General features: G+C 44.7%; 1 long non-coding RNA gene across 1 annotated transcript in view; it reads right to left on the bottom strand.

The window, feature by feature from the left end:
- Positions 1 to 8,624: 8,624 nt before the first annotated feature.
- Positions 8,625 to 18,305, bottom strand: part of LOC105371760 (uncharacterized) — a 28,835-nt gene continuing 19,154 nt past the window's right edge. The window contains exon 3 of the long non-coding RNA XR_934732.2: positions 8,625 to 8,892. This is a non-coding gene — a long non-coding RNA (uncharacterized LOC105371760). The remainder of the gene's footprint in view (positions 8,893 to 18,305) is intronic.

The following is an 18,305-nucleotide window of genomic DNA, read 5'->3' on the forward strand; positions in this document are numbered from 1 at the left end:
GAGTGATTTCAAAAACTATATTTTTGTTTCCATGATTTAATGTTTAAAATGGGATGTTTCGGGCGGTCGCGGTGGCTCACGCCTGTAATCCCAGCACTTTGGGAGGCCGAGGCGGGCGGATCACAAGGTTAGGAGTTCAACACCAGCCTGGCCAATATGGTGAAACCCCGTCTCTACTAAAAATACAAAAAAAAAAAATAGCCGGGCTTGGTGGCGGGCGCCTGTTGTCCCAGCTATTCGGGAGGCTGAGGTAGGAGAATCGCTTGAACCCGGGAGGTGGAGGTTGCAGTGAGCCGAGATTGCGCCACTGCACTCCAGCCTGGGCGACAGAGTGAGACTCTGTCTCAAAAAAAAAAAAATAAATAAATAATAAAATAAAATGGGATGTTTCACCTTTTCCCCATTTTCATCTTTGTTTCTTTTTAAACTAAAAGATCCTTCAGCAATCATGGCCTCTTTAATGGTGAACTATCTGTGGCTCTCTCAGTTCTGTAGATACCTTGCAAATTGAGGAGGTATATATATAAATGCATATATATATATATATATATATATATATATATATATATAATGTAACTGAAATTATCTTTAAAAAGGGGGGCCAGGGCCAGGTACGGTGGCTCACACCTGTAATCCCAGCACTTTGGGAGGCTGAGGCAGGTGGATCACGAGGTCAGGAGTTCGAGACCAGCCTGGCCAATATGGTGAAACCCTATCTCTACTAAAAATACAAAAATTAGCCTGGCATAGTGTCATGTGCCTGTAGTCCCAGCTACTAGGGAGGCTGAGGCAGGAGAATCGCTTGAACCCGGGAGGCGGAGGTTGCAGCGAGCCAAGATCACGCCACTACACTCCAGCCTGGGCTACAACGAGACTCTGTCTCAAAAAAAAAAAAAACAGTGGGCCCAGGTGTGGTGACGTGTGCCTATGATCCCAGCTACTCGGGAGGCTGAGACGGGAGGATCACTTGAGCCCAGGAGGTGGATGGAGGCTGCAGTGAGCTGTAATGGTGCCACTGCACTCCAGATGACAGAGTGAGGCCCTGTCTCTAAAAAAATAAAAATGAAATAACAATTTAAAAAATGTTATTTAAAGTGTCAAAGGCAAGGAGATTTATCCATAATCTTCATATTTCTTTATAGAAATTTCTCAGATAGAACCCTGTAATTTCCAAAACTGAATGTAGTATGTTGTAATGGACCAGTACTGTCCAGCAGAAACATACTGTGAACCACTAGGTAGTATTAAATCTTACAGTAGCCACATCACAAAAAAGTAAAAAGGAAACAAATGAAAACACATCTTATTTAACCCAACATATCCAAAATATTATCATTTCAACATGTAATCAATATAAAAAATATTAATGAGGCCGGGCACGGTGGCTCACGCCTGTAATCCCAGCACTTTGGGAGGCCAAGGCAGGTGAATAACCTGAGGTCAGGAGTTCAAGACCAGCCTGACCAACATGGTGAAATCCCGTCTCTACTAAAAATACAAAAATTAGCCAGGCATGGTGGCGCATGCCTGTAATCCTAGCCAGCTACTCTGGAGGCTGAGGCAGAAGAATCACTTGAACCCAGAAGGCGGCGGTTGCAGTGAGCTGAGATCACAGCACTGCACTTCAGCCTGGGCAAAAAGAGCGAAACTCCGTCTCAAAAAAAAAAAAAAATTAATGAGATATTTTACTTATTTTCTTCACACCAACTTTGAAATCCAGCGTGTATTTTACATTTATAGCACATCTAAATTCTGACTATCCACATTTCACGTGATCAGTAGTCACGTGTGGTTAGTGGCTCTTGTACTGGGCAGCACAATTTTGGACTCTGGGCCTGGCCTCTTAGCCTCTGAATCCTACATACTTTTCAGAAAGGCAGATTGAAAATCTGCAATCCTTTCAAACTAAGGTGTGAGATGGGGCCTTTTCTTATATATATGTAGTTCTATGACCACTTACTGGTCAGAGAAATAATAATTTAAATAACATATAATAATTTTTTTTTTTGAGCTGGAGTCTCCTCTGTCACCCAGGCTGGAGTGCAGTGGCGTGATCTAAGCTCACTGCAACCTCCACCTCATGGGTTCAAGCAATTCTCCTGCCCCAGCCTCCTCAGTAGCTGGGATTACAGGCGCCCACGACCATGCCCGACTAATTTTTGTATTTTTAGTACAGATGGAGTTTCACCATGTTAGCCAGGCTGGTCTCAAACTCCTGACCTCAGGTGATCTGCCCACCTAGGCCTCCCAAAGGGCTGAGATTACAGACATGAACCATTGTGCCCAGCCCATATAATAATAACTTAATTAACTGTAATTGAATGTTTATCGAGTGCTTACTAAACACTTTTTTTTTTTTTGAGATGGAGTTTCGCTCTTGTTGCCCAGGCTGGATTGCAATGGCATGATATTGGCTCCTGCAACCTCGGCCCCCCGGGTTCAAGCGACTCTCCTGCCCCAGCCTCCTAAGTAGCTGGGATTATAGGTGCCCGCCACCATGCCTGGCTAATTTTTGTATTTTTAGTTTTATTTGTTTGTTTGTTTTGTTTTGTTTTTCTTGTTTATTTTTTCTTTTTTTCTTTTTATTTCTTTTTCTTTTTTTAATTTTTGTATTTTTAGTAGAGACTGGGTTTCACCATGTTGGCCAGGCTGGTCTCAAACTCCTGACCTCAGGTGATCCACCTGCCTAGGCCTCCCTAAGGGCTGGGATTACAGTCATGAACCACCACGCCCAGCCCATATAATAATAATTTAATTAACTGTAATTGAATGTTTATCGAGTGCTTACTAAACATTTTGTTTTTTTTTCTTTTGTTTTGGGTTTTTTTTGAGATGCAGTTTCGCTCTTGTTGCCCAGGCTGGAGTGCAATGGTGTGAGCTCGGCTCACTGCAACCTCCACCTCCTGGGTTCAAGCAATTCTCCTGCCTCAGCCACCCAAGTAGCTGGGATTACAGGTGCCCACCACCACACCCGGTTAATTTTTTTGTATTTTTAGTAGAGATGGGATTTCACCATGTTGGCCAGGCTGGTCTCGAACTCCTGTCCTCAAGTGATCCGCCCACCTCGGCCTCCCAAAGTGCTGGGATTAGAAGTGTGAGCCACTATGCCTGGCCAACACTTTTCATATATTAATTCATTTAATTATTCTCAACAACTCTGTGAGGTGGACACCATTATCCCCATTTCACATTTGAGGAAACAGGCACACAGAAATTCAAGGACTTGCCTAAGGTCATACACTAATAATTGGTAGAGCCACAGTTAGGACCTAGGCATTTTTTTTTTCTCTCCTGAGAATCTTGCAGCAGATTCCCTGTTGTTCTGACTCTCCAGTTTTGTTTTGTTTTGTTTTGTTTTTGAGACAGAGTCTCGCTCTGCCGCCCAGGCTGGAGTGCAGTGGCACGATCTCGGCTCACTGCAAGCTCCGCCTCCCAGGTTCAAGCCATTCTCCTTCCTCAGCCTCGCGAGTAGCTGGGACTACAGGCACCCGCCACCAAGCCCAGCTAATTTTTCGTATTTTTAGTAGAGACAGGGTTTCACCGTGTTAGCCAGGATGGTCTCGATCTCCTGACATCGTGATCCGCCCGCCTCGGCCTCCCAGAGTGCTGGGATTACAGGCGTGAGCCACCGCGCCTGGCCCTAACTCTCCAGTTGTATTTTATTATAGTTCGTCTGTTTCTCAGCTTCTCAAAATGTTATTTTCATTATGTCTGTTAAAGCAAATTTAATTCATAACCATTTAAGGCTCTCCATGAACTGTCCTTATCATTTTCCCAGACTTGTTTTTTCTTATCCTTTAACATATATTCTCCAGTCTTAACAAGCTAACCAGTTTAATGCTTGGCCCTTACAGCTTGCTCATTCTTCTCTTCTCTACCATTGCTCAGGCATTATTGCTGGTATGACCTCCTCATCTTTTTCGGCAAACCGGGGCCCCTCCCTTCCTTCAACACTCACCTTTTCCAGAAAGTCCTCATTGACTAACTCCACCCAACTCTCTTTTCCCATCAGTTCACAAGTACTGGCTTTTGCTGATTTATTTGTACTTGTTCTGACTGTTACTCTGTAATTATGTTGTTGTTTTTGTTTTATTCTGGTTTTTTTCTGAGATGGAGTTTTGCTTTTGTTGCCCAGGCTGGAGTGCAATGGCACAATCTCGGCTCACTGCAACCTCCGCCTCCTGGGTTCAAGCGATTGTCCTGCCTCAGCCTCCTGAGTAGCTGGAATTACAGGCATGCGCCACCATGTCTGGCTAATTTTTTGTATTTTTAGTAGAGATGGGGTTTCTCCATGTTGGTCAGGCTGATCTCAAACTCCCGACCTCAGGTGATCTGCCCGCTTCGGCCTCCCAAAGTGCTAGGATTACAGGCGTGAGCCACCGTGCCCGGCCTATAATTGTGTTTAAATTTATTTTATATGTGTATCTTCGCAAGATGTACTACTAGTAAGAGCTTGTTTCCTAATTCCTTTATTACTCTCAGTACTGGACCCTGCACAAAGTACATCTCAATTATTATTGAGCTGACTAACCAATTAACCAAGAGACAATATTTTACCCAGTCTGTAGCCTTTCCTGTATGTACAAGATGTGTGCCCCATAGAGAAACTACGTGAACCTAAGACTGGAGGCAACTTTCTTTTATAAAATCACAGAAAAGATTAAAAACAAAACACCAGGCTAGGCACCATGCCTCACGCCTGTAATCCCAGCACTATGGGAGGCCAAGGTGGGCGGATCACCTGAGGTTGGGAGTTCAAGACCAGCCTGACCAACGTGGAGAAACCCCATCTCTACTAAAAATACAAAATTAGCTGGGCGTGGTGTTGCATGCCTGTAATCCCAGCTACTCGGGAGGCTGAGGCAGGAGAATCGCTTGAACCCAGGAGGCAGAGGTTGCAGTGAGCCAAGATCACGCCATTGCATTCCAACCTGGGCAACAAGAGTGAAAGTCCATCTCAAACAAAAACAGAAACAAAAACAAAACACTAGGGCCACAGACTTCATGGCAGCAGTAATTTTTGATCCTGCTGAGGAGAAAGAAGAGAACCTTACTTGGCCCCATCCTTGGTCCTATGATCCAAGAGATTCCAATGCAGCAAGTCAAGAATAAACCCACACTTAGAACTTGGGCTACAGGAATGGAAGGTAACACACAGTTCCCTTAAATATGACTGGATGACCACTTAACATATGCTCCATACAGGCTTCTCTGAAATAACAGAAATTAGAACACAAGGGCCCTTGGAAATTCATTTCCCTCCATGGTGCTTCAGAAGGAATGGGAAAGTCAGTAATGTCCCAAGATCCTTAGCCCTACTTTTAACAGGCTTCTAGGCTTCTCTGTTTACCACACCTTTGAAAATCTGCAAATGAAAAACCTATGGAAGTCCATATATATCAATAAAAAGTTAACAAAGATTTGGGAGACTGAGGCAGGAGGATGACTTGAGGCCAAGAGTTCAAGACCACTCTGGGCATCATAGTGAGACTCCCATCTCTACAAAAAAAGAAAAAAAAAATTGGCCGGGCGCGGTGGCTCACGCCTGTAATCCCAGCACTTTGGGAGGCCGAGGCAGGCGGATCACGAGGTCAGGAGATCGAGACCATCCTGGCCAACACAGTGAAACCCCGTCTCTACTAAAAATACAAAAAAAAACACAAAAAATTAGCCGGGCTTGGTGGCGGGTGCCTGTAGTCCCAGCTACTCGGGAGGCTGAGGCAGGAGAATGGTGTGAACCCGGGAGGCGGAGCTTGCAGTGAGCTGAGATCACGCCACTGCACTCCAGCCTGTGCGACAGAGCAAGACTCCATCTCAAAAAAAAAAAAAAATGTTTTTAATTAGCTGGGTGTGGTGGCCTATGCCTGTAGTCCTAGCTACTTGGGAGGCTAAAGTGGGAGGATTCCTTGAATCCAGGAGTTTGAGGCTGCAGTAAGCTATGACTGCATCACTGCAGTCCAGCCTGGGCAACAGAGTGAAATCCTGTCTCTGTTTGTTTTGGTTTGGTTTGTGTTTTTTTTTTTGAGACAAAGTTTTGCTCTTGTTGCCCAGGCTGGAGTACAGTGGCACAATCTTGGCTCACTGCAACCTCCGCCTCCCGGGGGTTCAAGCGATTTTCGTGCCTCAGCCTCCCAAGTAGCTGGGATTACAGGTGCCTGCCACCACGCCCAGCTAATTTTTTGTATTTTTAGTAGAGAGGGGGTTTCACCATGTTGACCAGGCTGGTCTCGAACTCCTAACCTCGGGTGATCCACCCGCCTCAGCCTCCCAAAGTGCAGGGATTACAGGCATGAGCCACTGCGCCCGGCCGAAATCCTGTCTCTTAAAAAAAAAAAAAAAAAAGTTTAAGAAAGGAAAAAAAAAAGGCCGGGCGCGGTGGCTCACGCCTGTAATCCCAGCACTTTGGGAGGCCGAGGCGGGCGGATCACGAGGTCAGGAGATCGAGACCATCCCGGCTAAAACGGTGAAACCCCGTCTCTACTAAAAATACAAAAAAATTAGCCGGGCGTAGTGGCGGGCGCCTGTAGTCCCAGCTACTTGGGAGGCTGAGGCAGGAGAATGGCGTGAACCCAGGAGGCGGAGCTTGCAGTGAGCCGAGATCCCGCCACTGCACTCCAGCCTGGGCGACAGAGCGAGACTCCGTCTCAAAAAAAAAAAAAAAAAAAAAAAAAAAAAAAAAAAAAAAAAAAAAAAAAGAAAGGAAAAAAAAACAATCAGTCATTCTAGCCAGAGCCACTATTGTTTTCAGTTTTCAAGTACTAGCCTGACAAATATGAGGACACAAAAAGAAATAGTTTCAATATCATCACTGACTTTATGACCTAAAACAAGTCCTAGCAATTCTCTGCCTCAGTTTCCCCATCTGTAAAGCAGATATGGGCATAATGCACGCTTATCTCAAAGAAAAGTATGATTTCTCCAGTGGTTTGAGAATTTCTTAAAAAGCCTATTATTGGGCCGGGCATGGTGGTTCATGCTTGTAATCCCAGCACTTTGGGAGGCCGAGGCAGGCAGATCACTTGAGGTCAGGAGTTCAAGACTAGCCTGGCGAACATGGTGAAACCCCGTTTCTACTAGAAATGCAAAAAAATTAGCCGGGTGTGGTGGCGGGTGCCTGTAATCACAGCTACTTGGGAGGCTGAGGCAGGATAATTGCTTGAACCCAGGAGGTGGAGTTTGCAGTGAGTCAAGATCACGCCATTGCACTCCAGCCTGGGTGACAAAACGAGACCCCGTCTCAAAAAAAACAAAAAAAAAGCCTATTATTTTCTTAATGTGAGAATGGTCTTTGTAGCAGGACTAGTAAAAAGTTGAAGTAAAATTATAGAGAGCAAATGTAAGTCATCGAAAGAAGTATTTCAGAGCAAAGATAATGTAAAGGAATTGGATTAGGGAGGCAAAATATTCAGGCAGGAAGGAGAGAAACCCCAGCTATGGAACACAGAAAGAGAAAGATGTGGAGCGTTTGAGAGAACCATTACAAAACCACCAAGTTAGATCAAAACAAAGCATTACAGTTACTGTTTAGCCTCTCTGACTTACAAATTATGGCCTTCAATGTCAATTTCAAGCATACAAATTATAACTCGAATTCCACTAATATGTGTCTTACCTGCGGAATATGATGAAGGGGTTCCAAAGGCCAGGAACACAAAAACTTGGAGAGCAATCCATGGAAAATGATGCCATGAGGTCCCAGCCTTGACTCTTCCGTAACTTAAAATGGATGTTGAAATGACAGTTGGAAATGTGAGTAGATGGAATGCTGCCTACCCATCCTGTGTTCTTCATGAAAGGAAAGTAGATTAATTTCACATGCTTTAAAATGTTTGCTATACTGATGGATAACTTAATTTGTCATAATAATATGTGAGCTATAGATTGGATAGATTGATGGATAGATACATAGTTTTATTTATGTGGGGATAGCAATATGACATTATGCACATAAAAATGTGGCCAAAGGAAGGTCCTATCTGGTCATAGTTTTATTTCTCTTGGTATCTTTCCATCAGGAAGTTGAAAAAGTCATACATTTCCACCTTTCTCACTTCCTTTCTAGCCCTCCTTTTTTTTTTTTTTTTTTCAGTACTTCTGCTTCCCTTTTCACAACTACTTCTGCAGGTCTGTTTACCAATCCCAAGGGAGTGACAACTACAAGAGCAAACCTAACCCCTTTGTTGATGATCTTCAAACTGAGATGACCTGTTTGGCTGTGACCTGTTTGGTTGTAAAGGATTAGCCACCAGGGCTTTGCAGAATATAAGTTAGGGAGCCAACTTATATGATAGGGTGAAGCCAATACCCTCTGCTGCAAAGAGTGCATATGTCTGTGTCTGATGCGTGGGCCTCTGGAATGCTACTATAACATTTCTCCTGAAATCCCAAGTCTTTTTTTTTCTTTTTTGAGACGGAGTCTCTCTCTGTCGCAGTGGTGCGATCTTGGCTCGCTGCAACCTCCACCTCCCGGGTTCCAGCAATTCTCCTGCCACAGCCTCCCGAGTTGCTGGGACTACAGGCGCATGCCACCATGCCTGGCTTTTTTTTTATTATTAGTAGAGACGGGGTTTCACCATGTTGTGCAGGCTGATCTCAAATTCCTGACCTCAGGTGATCCACCCGCCTCGGCCTCCCGAAGTGCTGGGATTACAAGTGTGAGCCACCGCGCCCGGCGAAATCCCAAGTTTTTAAAGGTTACGGTGCTCTGGAGCTGGCATGCTGGAATTGAGTTTGCAATGATGTTTGCCTTGACGTCAAATCCAAAAAAATCAGTGCGAGCTCAGGTTGAACCAGACCAGTGGGGTAGCCAAGAGGATTAGAAGTCGCAGCTTGGCAAGTCAGGGGGCCTCAGTTTCTCCATCCTTGGCTCTATTTCTGTTTGCTTCTTAAATCCTTGACAAGAAGAATTGACATCAGAATAGTCCTCACCCAATGTGCTATCCAAGGCCTAGCAAAGAGAATAAGCTTAACCCAGGTTAAGAGTTGGGTGAAGAGAAGAGACCCAAGACATTAAGGCCTACTAATCTGGCAGAATCACATCTCATGGGGTGTGATTTTATGAGAGCAATTTGCCTTGGAGTCTTAGACACATAAATAACTAAGGATAAGAATATTCTGCTGCCAGCCTCCCTACAGTTTGAGAGAGCAATTTGCCTTGGAGTCTTAGCCACATAAATAACTAAGGATAAGAATCTTCTGCTGCCAGCCTCCCTACAGTTTGCATAGGAGTCAAGATTAATAAATACTTAAAAAGTGTAAGGGGAGCTAAAAATTGGCTTGTGACCTGCTTATTCATAGGACTGAACCAAAAGTCATAGTGTCCCCAGTAAACAAATAATGCTAGAGCTAAAGAGAAACCATAAGGTAAGCATCTAAGATCCTTTCATTTTCAGATATACATGCTTTAGAAAAATTGTCTTGGCATGGAGACTAGCCTTTGGGATCTAGTGCCTTGAAAAAAAATCTGATGGTAACATCTCTATTTTGGTAAATTGATTCAAGAAAAAGGCAAAGAGACAAAAAGCAATTCAAACTGCTCATACTCTTTAGCCCTGGGAAGCCTGCACCGGCAGGTTTCTGGATATGGTCTATTTTAGTTCAAAGTGCAATCACACTGTATAAAATATAAAGTCACTAAGAATGAGGCATAGCACAAATACCCTAGGGACCTGACATCAGGAATTAGGGCAGGTCACAAAAGAAAAAGAACAAAACTCAGAGCTTCACTCTTGTTGCCCAGGCTGGAGTGCAATGGTGCAATCTCGGCTCACTGCAAACTCTGCCTCCTGGGTTCAAGCGATTCTCCTGCCTCAGCCTCCCAAGTAGCTGAGATTACAGGCATGCACCACCACGCCTGGCTAATTTTGTATTTTTAGTAGAGACGAGGTTTCTCCATGTTGGTCAGACTGGTCTCGAACTCCCATCCTCAGGTGATCCGCGCCCCCTCGGCCTCCCAAAGTGCAGAGATTATAGGCTTGAGCCACTGTGCCTGGCCAAGACAAAATTCTTCAGGCAAAAAGGCACAGTATAAACCATTCAAGAGAGATTTATATTCCTGTTGCCCCAAACCTACATTAGCTGTTAAGTGGAGGCCACAGTTTTAGCAACTCTACATCAGGAAACCCTGAACTCTTGTTGTGCCCTATCCCAATGTGTCTCAGTGCCAAGAGATGCCAAACGATGTCATCTTTGTTTAGCTCTATGTACTTTTGCTAAAGTGATTCATTACTGTCTTATCTCAATGTAAGAGGATATCAGTAGATGCAGGAGAGGGTGACAGAATCAAAGGAGTGGAGGAGGTGGAAGAAGAGAAAAAGGCGTCACTATTTTACAGAAAAAGTGCCATTATTGGTGTCTGACAAGGTAAATCGTTTTCTTTAGTTTATAAGCCCTACCTCCTTTTATTTTTTCCAGAAATTAGAACATTAGTTCTATCCAGGTTTGGTTCAGACTTGAATTGTACAAGTTGCAGTTCTTAGAGCTGATACCAGGGTCCCATTCTGTCACCCAGGCTGGAGTGTGGTGATGTGATCTCAGCTCACTGCAACATCTGCCTCCCAGGCTCAATGATCCTTTACCTCAGCTTCCCAGGTAGCTGGGACTACAGGCATGCACCACTAGGTCCGTCTAGTTTGTGTGGAGTTTTTTGGTAGAGATGGGATTTCACCATATTGCCCAGGCTGATCTCAAACTCCTGGTTCGAGCGATCCTCCCGCCTCCCCAAAGTACTGGGATTATAGATGTGAGCCACTGTGTCTGCCCTAAAATGGTAAAATCTTTAAGGCCCTTGTTTTCCCTAATTTTTCCTCCCCTTCATGGTAAAGAAGTCCAGTGTGCTATGTTACTAACGCTAGGATTCATAACTTACATTTTAAGGATAGCCAAAGTAAGTTGAAGATTACTTCCTATTGTTTCATTCTTTATAATTGTTTTAGGGGGCTTCAAATACAAGGGGTCAAAAACTGACGTAGGACAAAGATAGATGCAGTCATTGCCCAGAGTTAACTGCAAAGCAATGACTAAAAGCCATGATGAGAAGAATTTCTGACTCCCAGGCCTCTCTTCTTTCTGAATATCCTAGCAGTCCTAGATAACTGTCAGAGGACAAGTGTTGAAATGTGTTGACAAGTGTTGACAAGGAGGACCACACATACCCTAGATTTTCCAGGACAGTCCTGATGGCAAATATTCTCCACTGTCATCAGAACCCATGTAAATAAATGTCCTAGAAATTCCAATATTCTAGCATTTTGGGTTAAAGAAAATGGAAGAAGAACTGCATGCCTGGGAGTCAAGGCAAAAAGGGCACATGATAGTTGGTGTCAAGGCCAGGTAACAGGAAGGAGACAGAAAGATCTGATTGCTAGAATAACCAGGCAGCTCAAATGAGGGTAATAGAATCTTGTGCAGCACAGCATCATGATGGTAAAAAAAATGCTCTTTCCATGAGTGCTTAAAGCAGACTCAGAGAAAAGTTGCTGTTTTCAACCCACCTCTGGAGTACTAGTACTCCAGCCTCCATTAGTCAGGCTTCCACCCTGGAGATCTGACATAGTATGACAAGTCCTACAAAGCCAAACAATGAGGTCATCCTTTGTAGGTTACTTCATTGTGGGTGATAACTTCATCAGGAAAAAATATGTTCATTCAGCATTTTTCAAGTCCTCAAACTGCTTTATGAAATCAAGTCTGTTCATTCCTCTCTAGGAAGAGCAAACCTAGCAAGAGAAACAAGTTCTCTAGGTTTATACATCTATATGGTTAATCCTAGGCTCTTAGCCCCTACTTAAACAAATCCTAACCCTAGAGATCTAAATGAAATATTCTCTTTATTTAGTACGATTAATCTATTACCACTCTGAATAATTGGAAATATATTTAAATGCTTTTCATAGTGTGAGAGACAGAATGGAAATCCATGGAGCAGAAGAAAGGCTCAGTTCTTCTCCTTTTACCATGATCATGATAACTTTATAATTCCATGTAGTAAACCCTAAGGGCACGTTCTCATCAGCCAGGTTAGAGCCCCTTGTTCTACAGAGTAATGAAGGAGTTAGACCAAGTATCTTTCCCCAGTAATAGGGTGGCCAGATAAAAAAACAGGACACCTAGTTAAATTAGAATTGCAGATAAAATGAATAGTTTTTTAGTGTAAATAGTCTCAACTATTTCATGGGACATGCTTAGACACATGCTTAGACTAAAAATATGCAATAGTTTGCCGGGCGCAGTGGCTCACGCCTGTAATCCCAGCACTCTGAGAGGCCGAGGCAGGCGGATCACGAGGTCAAGGAGATGGAGGCCATCCTGGCTAACACGGTGAAACCCCGTCTCTACTAAAAATACAAAAAATTAGCCGGGCGTGGTGGCGGGTGCCTGTAGTCCCAGCTACTCGGGAGGCTGAGGCAGGAGAATGGCGTGAACCCGGGAGGCAGAGCTTGCAGTGAGCCGAGGTTGTGCCATTGCACTCCAGCCTGGGCAACAGAGTGAGACTCTGTCTCAGAAAAAAAAAAAAAAAAAAAAAAAAGCAATAGTTACAAGTTAGGTTACTAAATACTAAAAACTATTCATTGTTTATCTGAAATTCAATTATTATTATTATTTTTTGAGACAGAGTTTCACTCTTGTTGCCCAGGCTGGAGTGCAATGGCGCGATCTCAGCTCACCGCAACCTCCACCTCTGCCTCCCGGGTTCAAGTGATTCTTCTGCCTCAGCCTCCCGAGTAGCTGGGATTACAGGCATGCGCCATCACGCCTGGCGAATTTTGTATTTTTAGTAGAGACAGGGCTTCTCCATGTTGGTCAAGCTGGTCTCGAACTCCCGACCTCCAGTGATCCACCCGCCTCGGCCTCCTAAAGTGCTGGGTTGTTTTTTTGTTTTGTTTTGTTTTTTGTATTTTTTAGTGGAGACGGGGTTTCACCATGTTAGCCAGGATGGTCTCGATCTCCTGACCTTGTGATCCACCCACCTCGGCTTCCCAAAGTGCTGAGATTACAAGTTTTCTTTTTTCTTTCTTTCTTTCTTTTTTTTTTTGAGATAAGGCCTCACTCTGTGGTCCAGACTGGAGTGCAGTGGCGATTACAGCTCACTGAAGCCTTGATCTCCTGGACTCAGGTGATCCTTCCACCTCAGCCTCCCAAATAGCTGGTACTACAGGGATGCACCACAACATTTGGCTAATTTTTTTTTTTTTTTTTTTTTTTTTTTTTTGAGACAGAGTCTCGCTCAGCTGCCCAGGCTGGAGTGCAATGGCGCAATCTCGGCTCACTGCAACCACCCTCTCCCGGATTCAAGCGATTCTCCCGTCTCAGCCTCCCGAGTAGCTGGGATTAGAGGCACCCATCATCATGCCCAGCTAATTTTTGTATTTTAGTAGAGACAGGGTTCCACCATGTTGGCCAGCCTGGTCTTGAACTCCTGACCTCAGGTGATCCACCTGCCTCAGCCTCCCTAAATGCTAGGATTACAGCTGTGAGCCGCCACGCCCAGCCTTTTGGCTAATTTTTGTATCTTCTCTTTTTTAGAGAAGGGACTTTGCCATGTTGTCCAGACTCGTCTCAAACTCTGGGCTCAAATGATCTGCCTAACTCGGCCTCTCAAAGTGCTGGAATTACAAGTGTAAGCCACTGAGCCTGGTCCGAAATTCAAATGCAATTGGGCATGCTGTATTTTTATTTGCTAAATATAGTAACCCTACCAGTACTATGCTTTCAGATTTTTTTTTTTTGAGATGGAGTTTTGCTCGTTTCCCAGGCTGGATTGCAACGGCATGATCTCGCCTCACTGCAACCTCCACCTCCTGGGTTCAAGTGACTCTCCTGCCTCAGCCTCCTGAGTAGCTGAGAGTACAGGCGCCCGCCACCACGCCCAGCTATATATATATATATATTTTTTTGAGACAGCCTCTCACTCTTGTCGCCCAGGCTGGAGTGCAGTGGTGCGATCTCGGCTCACTGCAACCTCCACCTCCCAGGTTCAAGCGATTCTCCTGCCTCAGCCTCCCGAGTAGCTGGGATTACAGGCGTCTGTCACCACGCCTGGCTAATTTTTGTATTTTTAGTAGAGACGGGGTTTCACCATATTGGCCAGGCTGGTCTTGAACTCCTGACCTCAGGCAATCCACCCACCTCAGCCTCCCAAAGTGCTGGGATTACAGGCGTGAGCCACTGCGCCCGGCTTTTTTTTTGTATTTTTAGTAGAGACGGGGTTTCACCATGTTGTCCAGGCTGGTCGCGAACTCCTAACCTCAGGTGATCCACCCAACTCAGCCTTCCAAAGTGCTGAGATTACAGGCGTGAGCTACCTTCGCCCGGCCTGCTTTCAGGTTTTTTTTTTTTTTTTTTTTTTGAGACAGAGTCTCACTCTTGTTGCCCAGACTGGAGTGCAGTGGTGCGATCTCGGCTCACTGCAACCTCCACCTCCCAGGTTCACGCCATTCTCCTGCCTCAGCCTCCTGAGTAGCTGGGATTACAGGCACGTGCCACCATACCTGGCTAGTTTTTTTTTTTTTTTTTTTTTTTGGAGATGGAGTCTCGCTCTGTCGCCCAGGCTGGAGTGGAGTGGCGCAATCTTGGCTCACCGCAAGCTCCGCCTCCTGGGTTCCCGCCATTCTCCCGCCTCAGCCTCCCGAGTAGTTGGGACTGCAGGTACCGGCCACCACTCGCGGCTAATTTTGTGGGGTTTTTTTCTTTTTTGTATTTTTAGTAGAGATGCGGTTTCACTATGTTAGCCAGGATGGCCTCGATCTCCTGACCTCGTGATCTGCCCAGGTCGGCCTCCCAAAGTGCTGGGATTACAGGCGCAAGCCACTGCACCAGGCCCATATCTGGCTAGTTTTTGTATTTTTAGTAGAGATGGGGTTTCACCATGTTGTCTAGGCTGGTCTCAAACTCCTAACCTCAGGTGATCCACCCGCCTTGGCCTCCCAAAGTGCTGGGATTACAGGCATGAGCCGTCACACCCGGGGTAAATAGGGATTTTAAAATAGCTTTGTGTGCTGGCAAATATCTTTTTCTGGAGAGTGGAATGACATTCTGTCATGTTTAATTTTTTAGGCTAGGAGACCGCTAAAAGGGATATCTAACTCTCTTCTCCTTTTCTTATTCCCTAGGGTATTCACTTTAGTGGAAAACAGCATAGGTTAATATCAACTGGCTCCATAAAAATCAACTTGTCCCTTTAAATATATCAAATACTTTAAATAGTTTTTCCAATATTAAATATCCATGTTCAGAATATGGTGGTGATTATGCTGTATTAATAAGAGAAATTACTTTGAGAGTGATGTTGGCAAGATTATGTCAAGTAGCAGCCAAGGGCTGATATACCACACTGTCAAACCAATGATTTTTTTTCTTTCTTTCTTTTGCCACTGTTACTATATTAATATACTTTTAGTATTTCCACTCACCTGAAAATGATGCAGGCAGATATTATAAACCTGATTCTGCCACTCCTGCAAATATCAAAGCTTAAACATTTTAATGGGGAGGAAAAAAAAACACTCTGAAGAATAAATATTCATAGGATTTTAATCCAGAAGTATCCCAACAGGCGCAGTGGCTCATGCCTGTAATCCCAGCACTTTGGGAGGCCGAGGCAGGCAGATCACCTGAGGTCAGGAGTTTGAGACCAGCCTGGCCAACATAGTGAAACCCCCGCCTCTACTAAAAATATGAAAATTAGCTAGGCATTGGCCGGACACGGTGGCTCATGCCTGTAATCCCAGCACTTTGGGAGGCTGAGGCGGGCACATCACGAGGTCAGGAGATGGAGACCATCCTGGCTAACACAGTGAAACCCCGCCTCTACTAAAAATACAAAAATTAGCCTGGCGTGACGGCAGGCACCTGTAATCCCAGCTACTTGGGAGGCTGAGGCAAGAGAATGACAAACCTGGAAGGTGGAGTTTGCAGTGAGCTGAGATCGTGCCACTGCACTCCAGCCTGGGTGACAGAGCAAGACACCGTCTCAAAAAAAAAAAAGATTAGCCGGACGTGGTGGCAGGTGCCTATAATCTCAGCTACTGGGGAGGCTGAGGCAGGAGAATCTCTTGAACCCAGGAGGTAGAGGTTGCAGTGAGCCAAGATTGCGCCACAGCACTCTATCCTGGGTGACAGAGTGAAACTCCGTCTCAAAAAAAAAAAAAAAGTATCCCAGCCAGGTGCAGTGGCTCGTGCTTGTAATCCCAGCACTTTGGGAGGCCAACGCGGGCGGATCACGAGGTCAGGAGTTCAAGACCAGGCTGACCAACATGGTGAAACCCTGTCTCTACTAAAAATACAAAAATTAGCCGGGCATGGTGGCATGTGCCTATAATCCCGGCTACTCAGGAGGCTGAGGCTGAGGCAGGAGAATGGCTTGAAACTGCAAGGCAGAGGTTGCAGTGAGCCGAGATTGCACTGAGCCGAGATTGCATCATTGCACTGCACTCCAGCCTGAGCGACAGAGTGAGACTCTTGTCTCAAAAAAAAGGTATCCCAACAGAGTTTCACATTTTACCATAACCCACAGGAGAGAAATCTTTTCTATAATCATTAATAATTTAGTTCTTTAGAAAAATCATTTCCTCTTCGTGTGATTTTTCTTGTTTTAGACGTGGTCTCATGATGTTGGCCAGGCTGGCCTCAAACTCCTGGACTCAAGTGATCCTCCTGCCTCAGCCTCCTGAGTAGTTGGGACTACAGGGATGTGCCACGACTTGTTTATCAAGCAGTTATTGAGTACCTAGTGTGTGCCACTCAGTGGCTTGTAAGTGGCAGAGCCAGTGGCAGAAGCCAGGTTACCTTGACTCAGAACAGGCACTCTTTCCCAATACTTGGTCTTCCCATGATCTCTTTCTGGAACTCCCAGGGCTGATGTAATATAACCCAAAGAATAAACTGGAATAAGACAAAGAGAAATAAAGCTTGAGTTTCCATTTAGCTCTTCCCTGACAGGTGGTACATAACTTAGCCCATTCAAGAGCAGATGAGTTTCCATCACCTGTTTTGTTTAAATATTAAGAACTATTAAAAGACATTATTTTCCCTTGATGGTTATCAGAATCTTCTGGCTTTCCAACAGTGCCACCCAAATCCTTTATCTGTCTAGAACCCCTTGCTGTTTCAGTTTCTTCATCTGTAAAATTAGGTAATGGATTAGATCATCTTCAAAGTTCTTTCTAGCTCTAAAATTATTTTATTCTACTAATTTTCTGTGGAAAAAAATTATTATGCTCAGGTCCATCAGCTTTGGCTAATGAGGGCTGCACTCCACAGTTTGAAAAGTTTAGGAAATTCCCGGCCTGGTATGGTGGCTCATGCTTGTAATCCCCGTACTTCCAGAGGGCAAGGCAGGCAGATTACTTTTGCCCCCAAGTTTGAGACCAGCCTGGGCAATGTGGCAAGACCCTGTTTCTAATAAAAAGGTAAAAATGGCATATCATCCATGGCCTTTTTACTTTTCCAACACAGTCTGGGAAATTATTAATAACAATAAAATCTCTACAGAGTACTCTTTCCTAATTACTTTGAATATTTTCCTTTCTCACAATGTCATTGAGACACAAGAAGGTATTATTCATCCACCAAAAATGAGAAACTGGACATACAGATAGGTCGTGCACTTTTTTTTTTTTAAATGGAGTGTTGCTCTGTCACCTAGGCTGCAGTACAATGGCGCGGATGTCCATTCACTGCAACCTCTGCCTCCTGGGTTCAAGCGATTCTCCTGCCTCAGTCTCCTGAGTAGCTGGGACTACAGGCGCATGCCACCACACCGGCTAATTTTTTGTATTTTTAGTAGAGACGGGGTTTCACATGTTGGCCAGGCTGGTCTCAAACTCCTGACCTCGTGATCCGCCCACCTCGGCCTCCCAAAGTGCTGCGATTACAGGTGTGAGCCACCACGCCCCGCCTAGGTCGTGCACTTCTAAAACTCACAGTAAGTGGGAGTAGATCTAAAATGAGAAAGTGGATCTCTCTGCTGACTGCGTCTCTTGTCCAGGCTTTTTATCCACAGTAAGCTTTCTGGTTAATGTACAGAATGTGGAATGCTCATTAATTGCTCTTGGAAAATGAACCTGTCTCTTCCTCCCTTCCTACTTCAAAAAAAAAAAACACACACAAAAACACAGAAAAACAATAATACCCTCACTTTACTAAATGAGCAAGAGGAAAAAAAATGAATCTGGCCAGGTGCGGTGGCTCATGCCTGTAATCCCAGAACTTTGGAGGCTGAGGCAGGTGGATCACTTGAGGTCAGGGGTTCAAGACAAGCCTGGCCAACATGGTGAAACCCTGTCTCTACTAAAAATGCAAAAATT

Source organism: Homo sapiens, chromosome 17 (genome assembly GCF_000001405.40).
Source record: "Homo sapiens chromosome 17, GRCh38.p14 Primary Assembly".
In the NCBI taxonomy this organism is placed as follows: domain Eukaryota; kingdom Metazoa; phylum Chordata; class Mammalia; order Primates; family Hominidae; genus Homo; species Homo sapiens.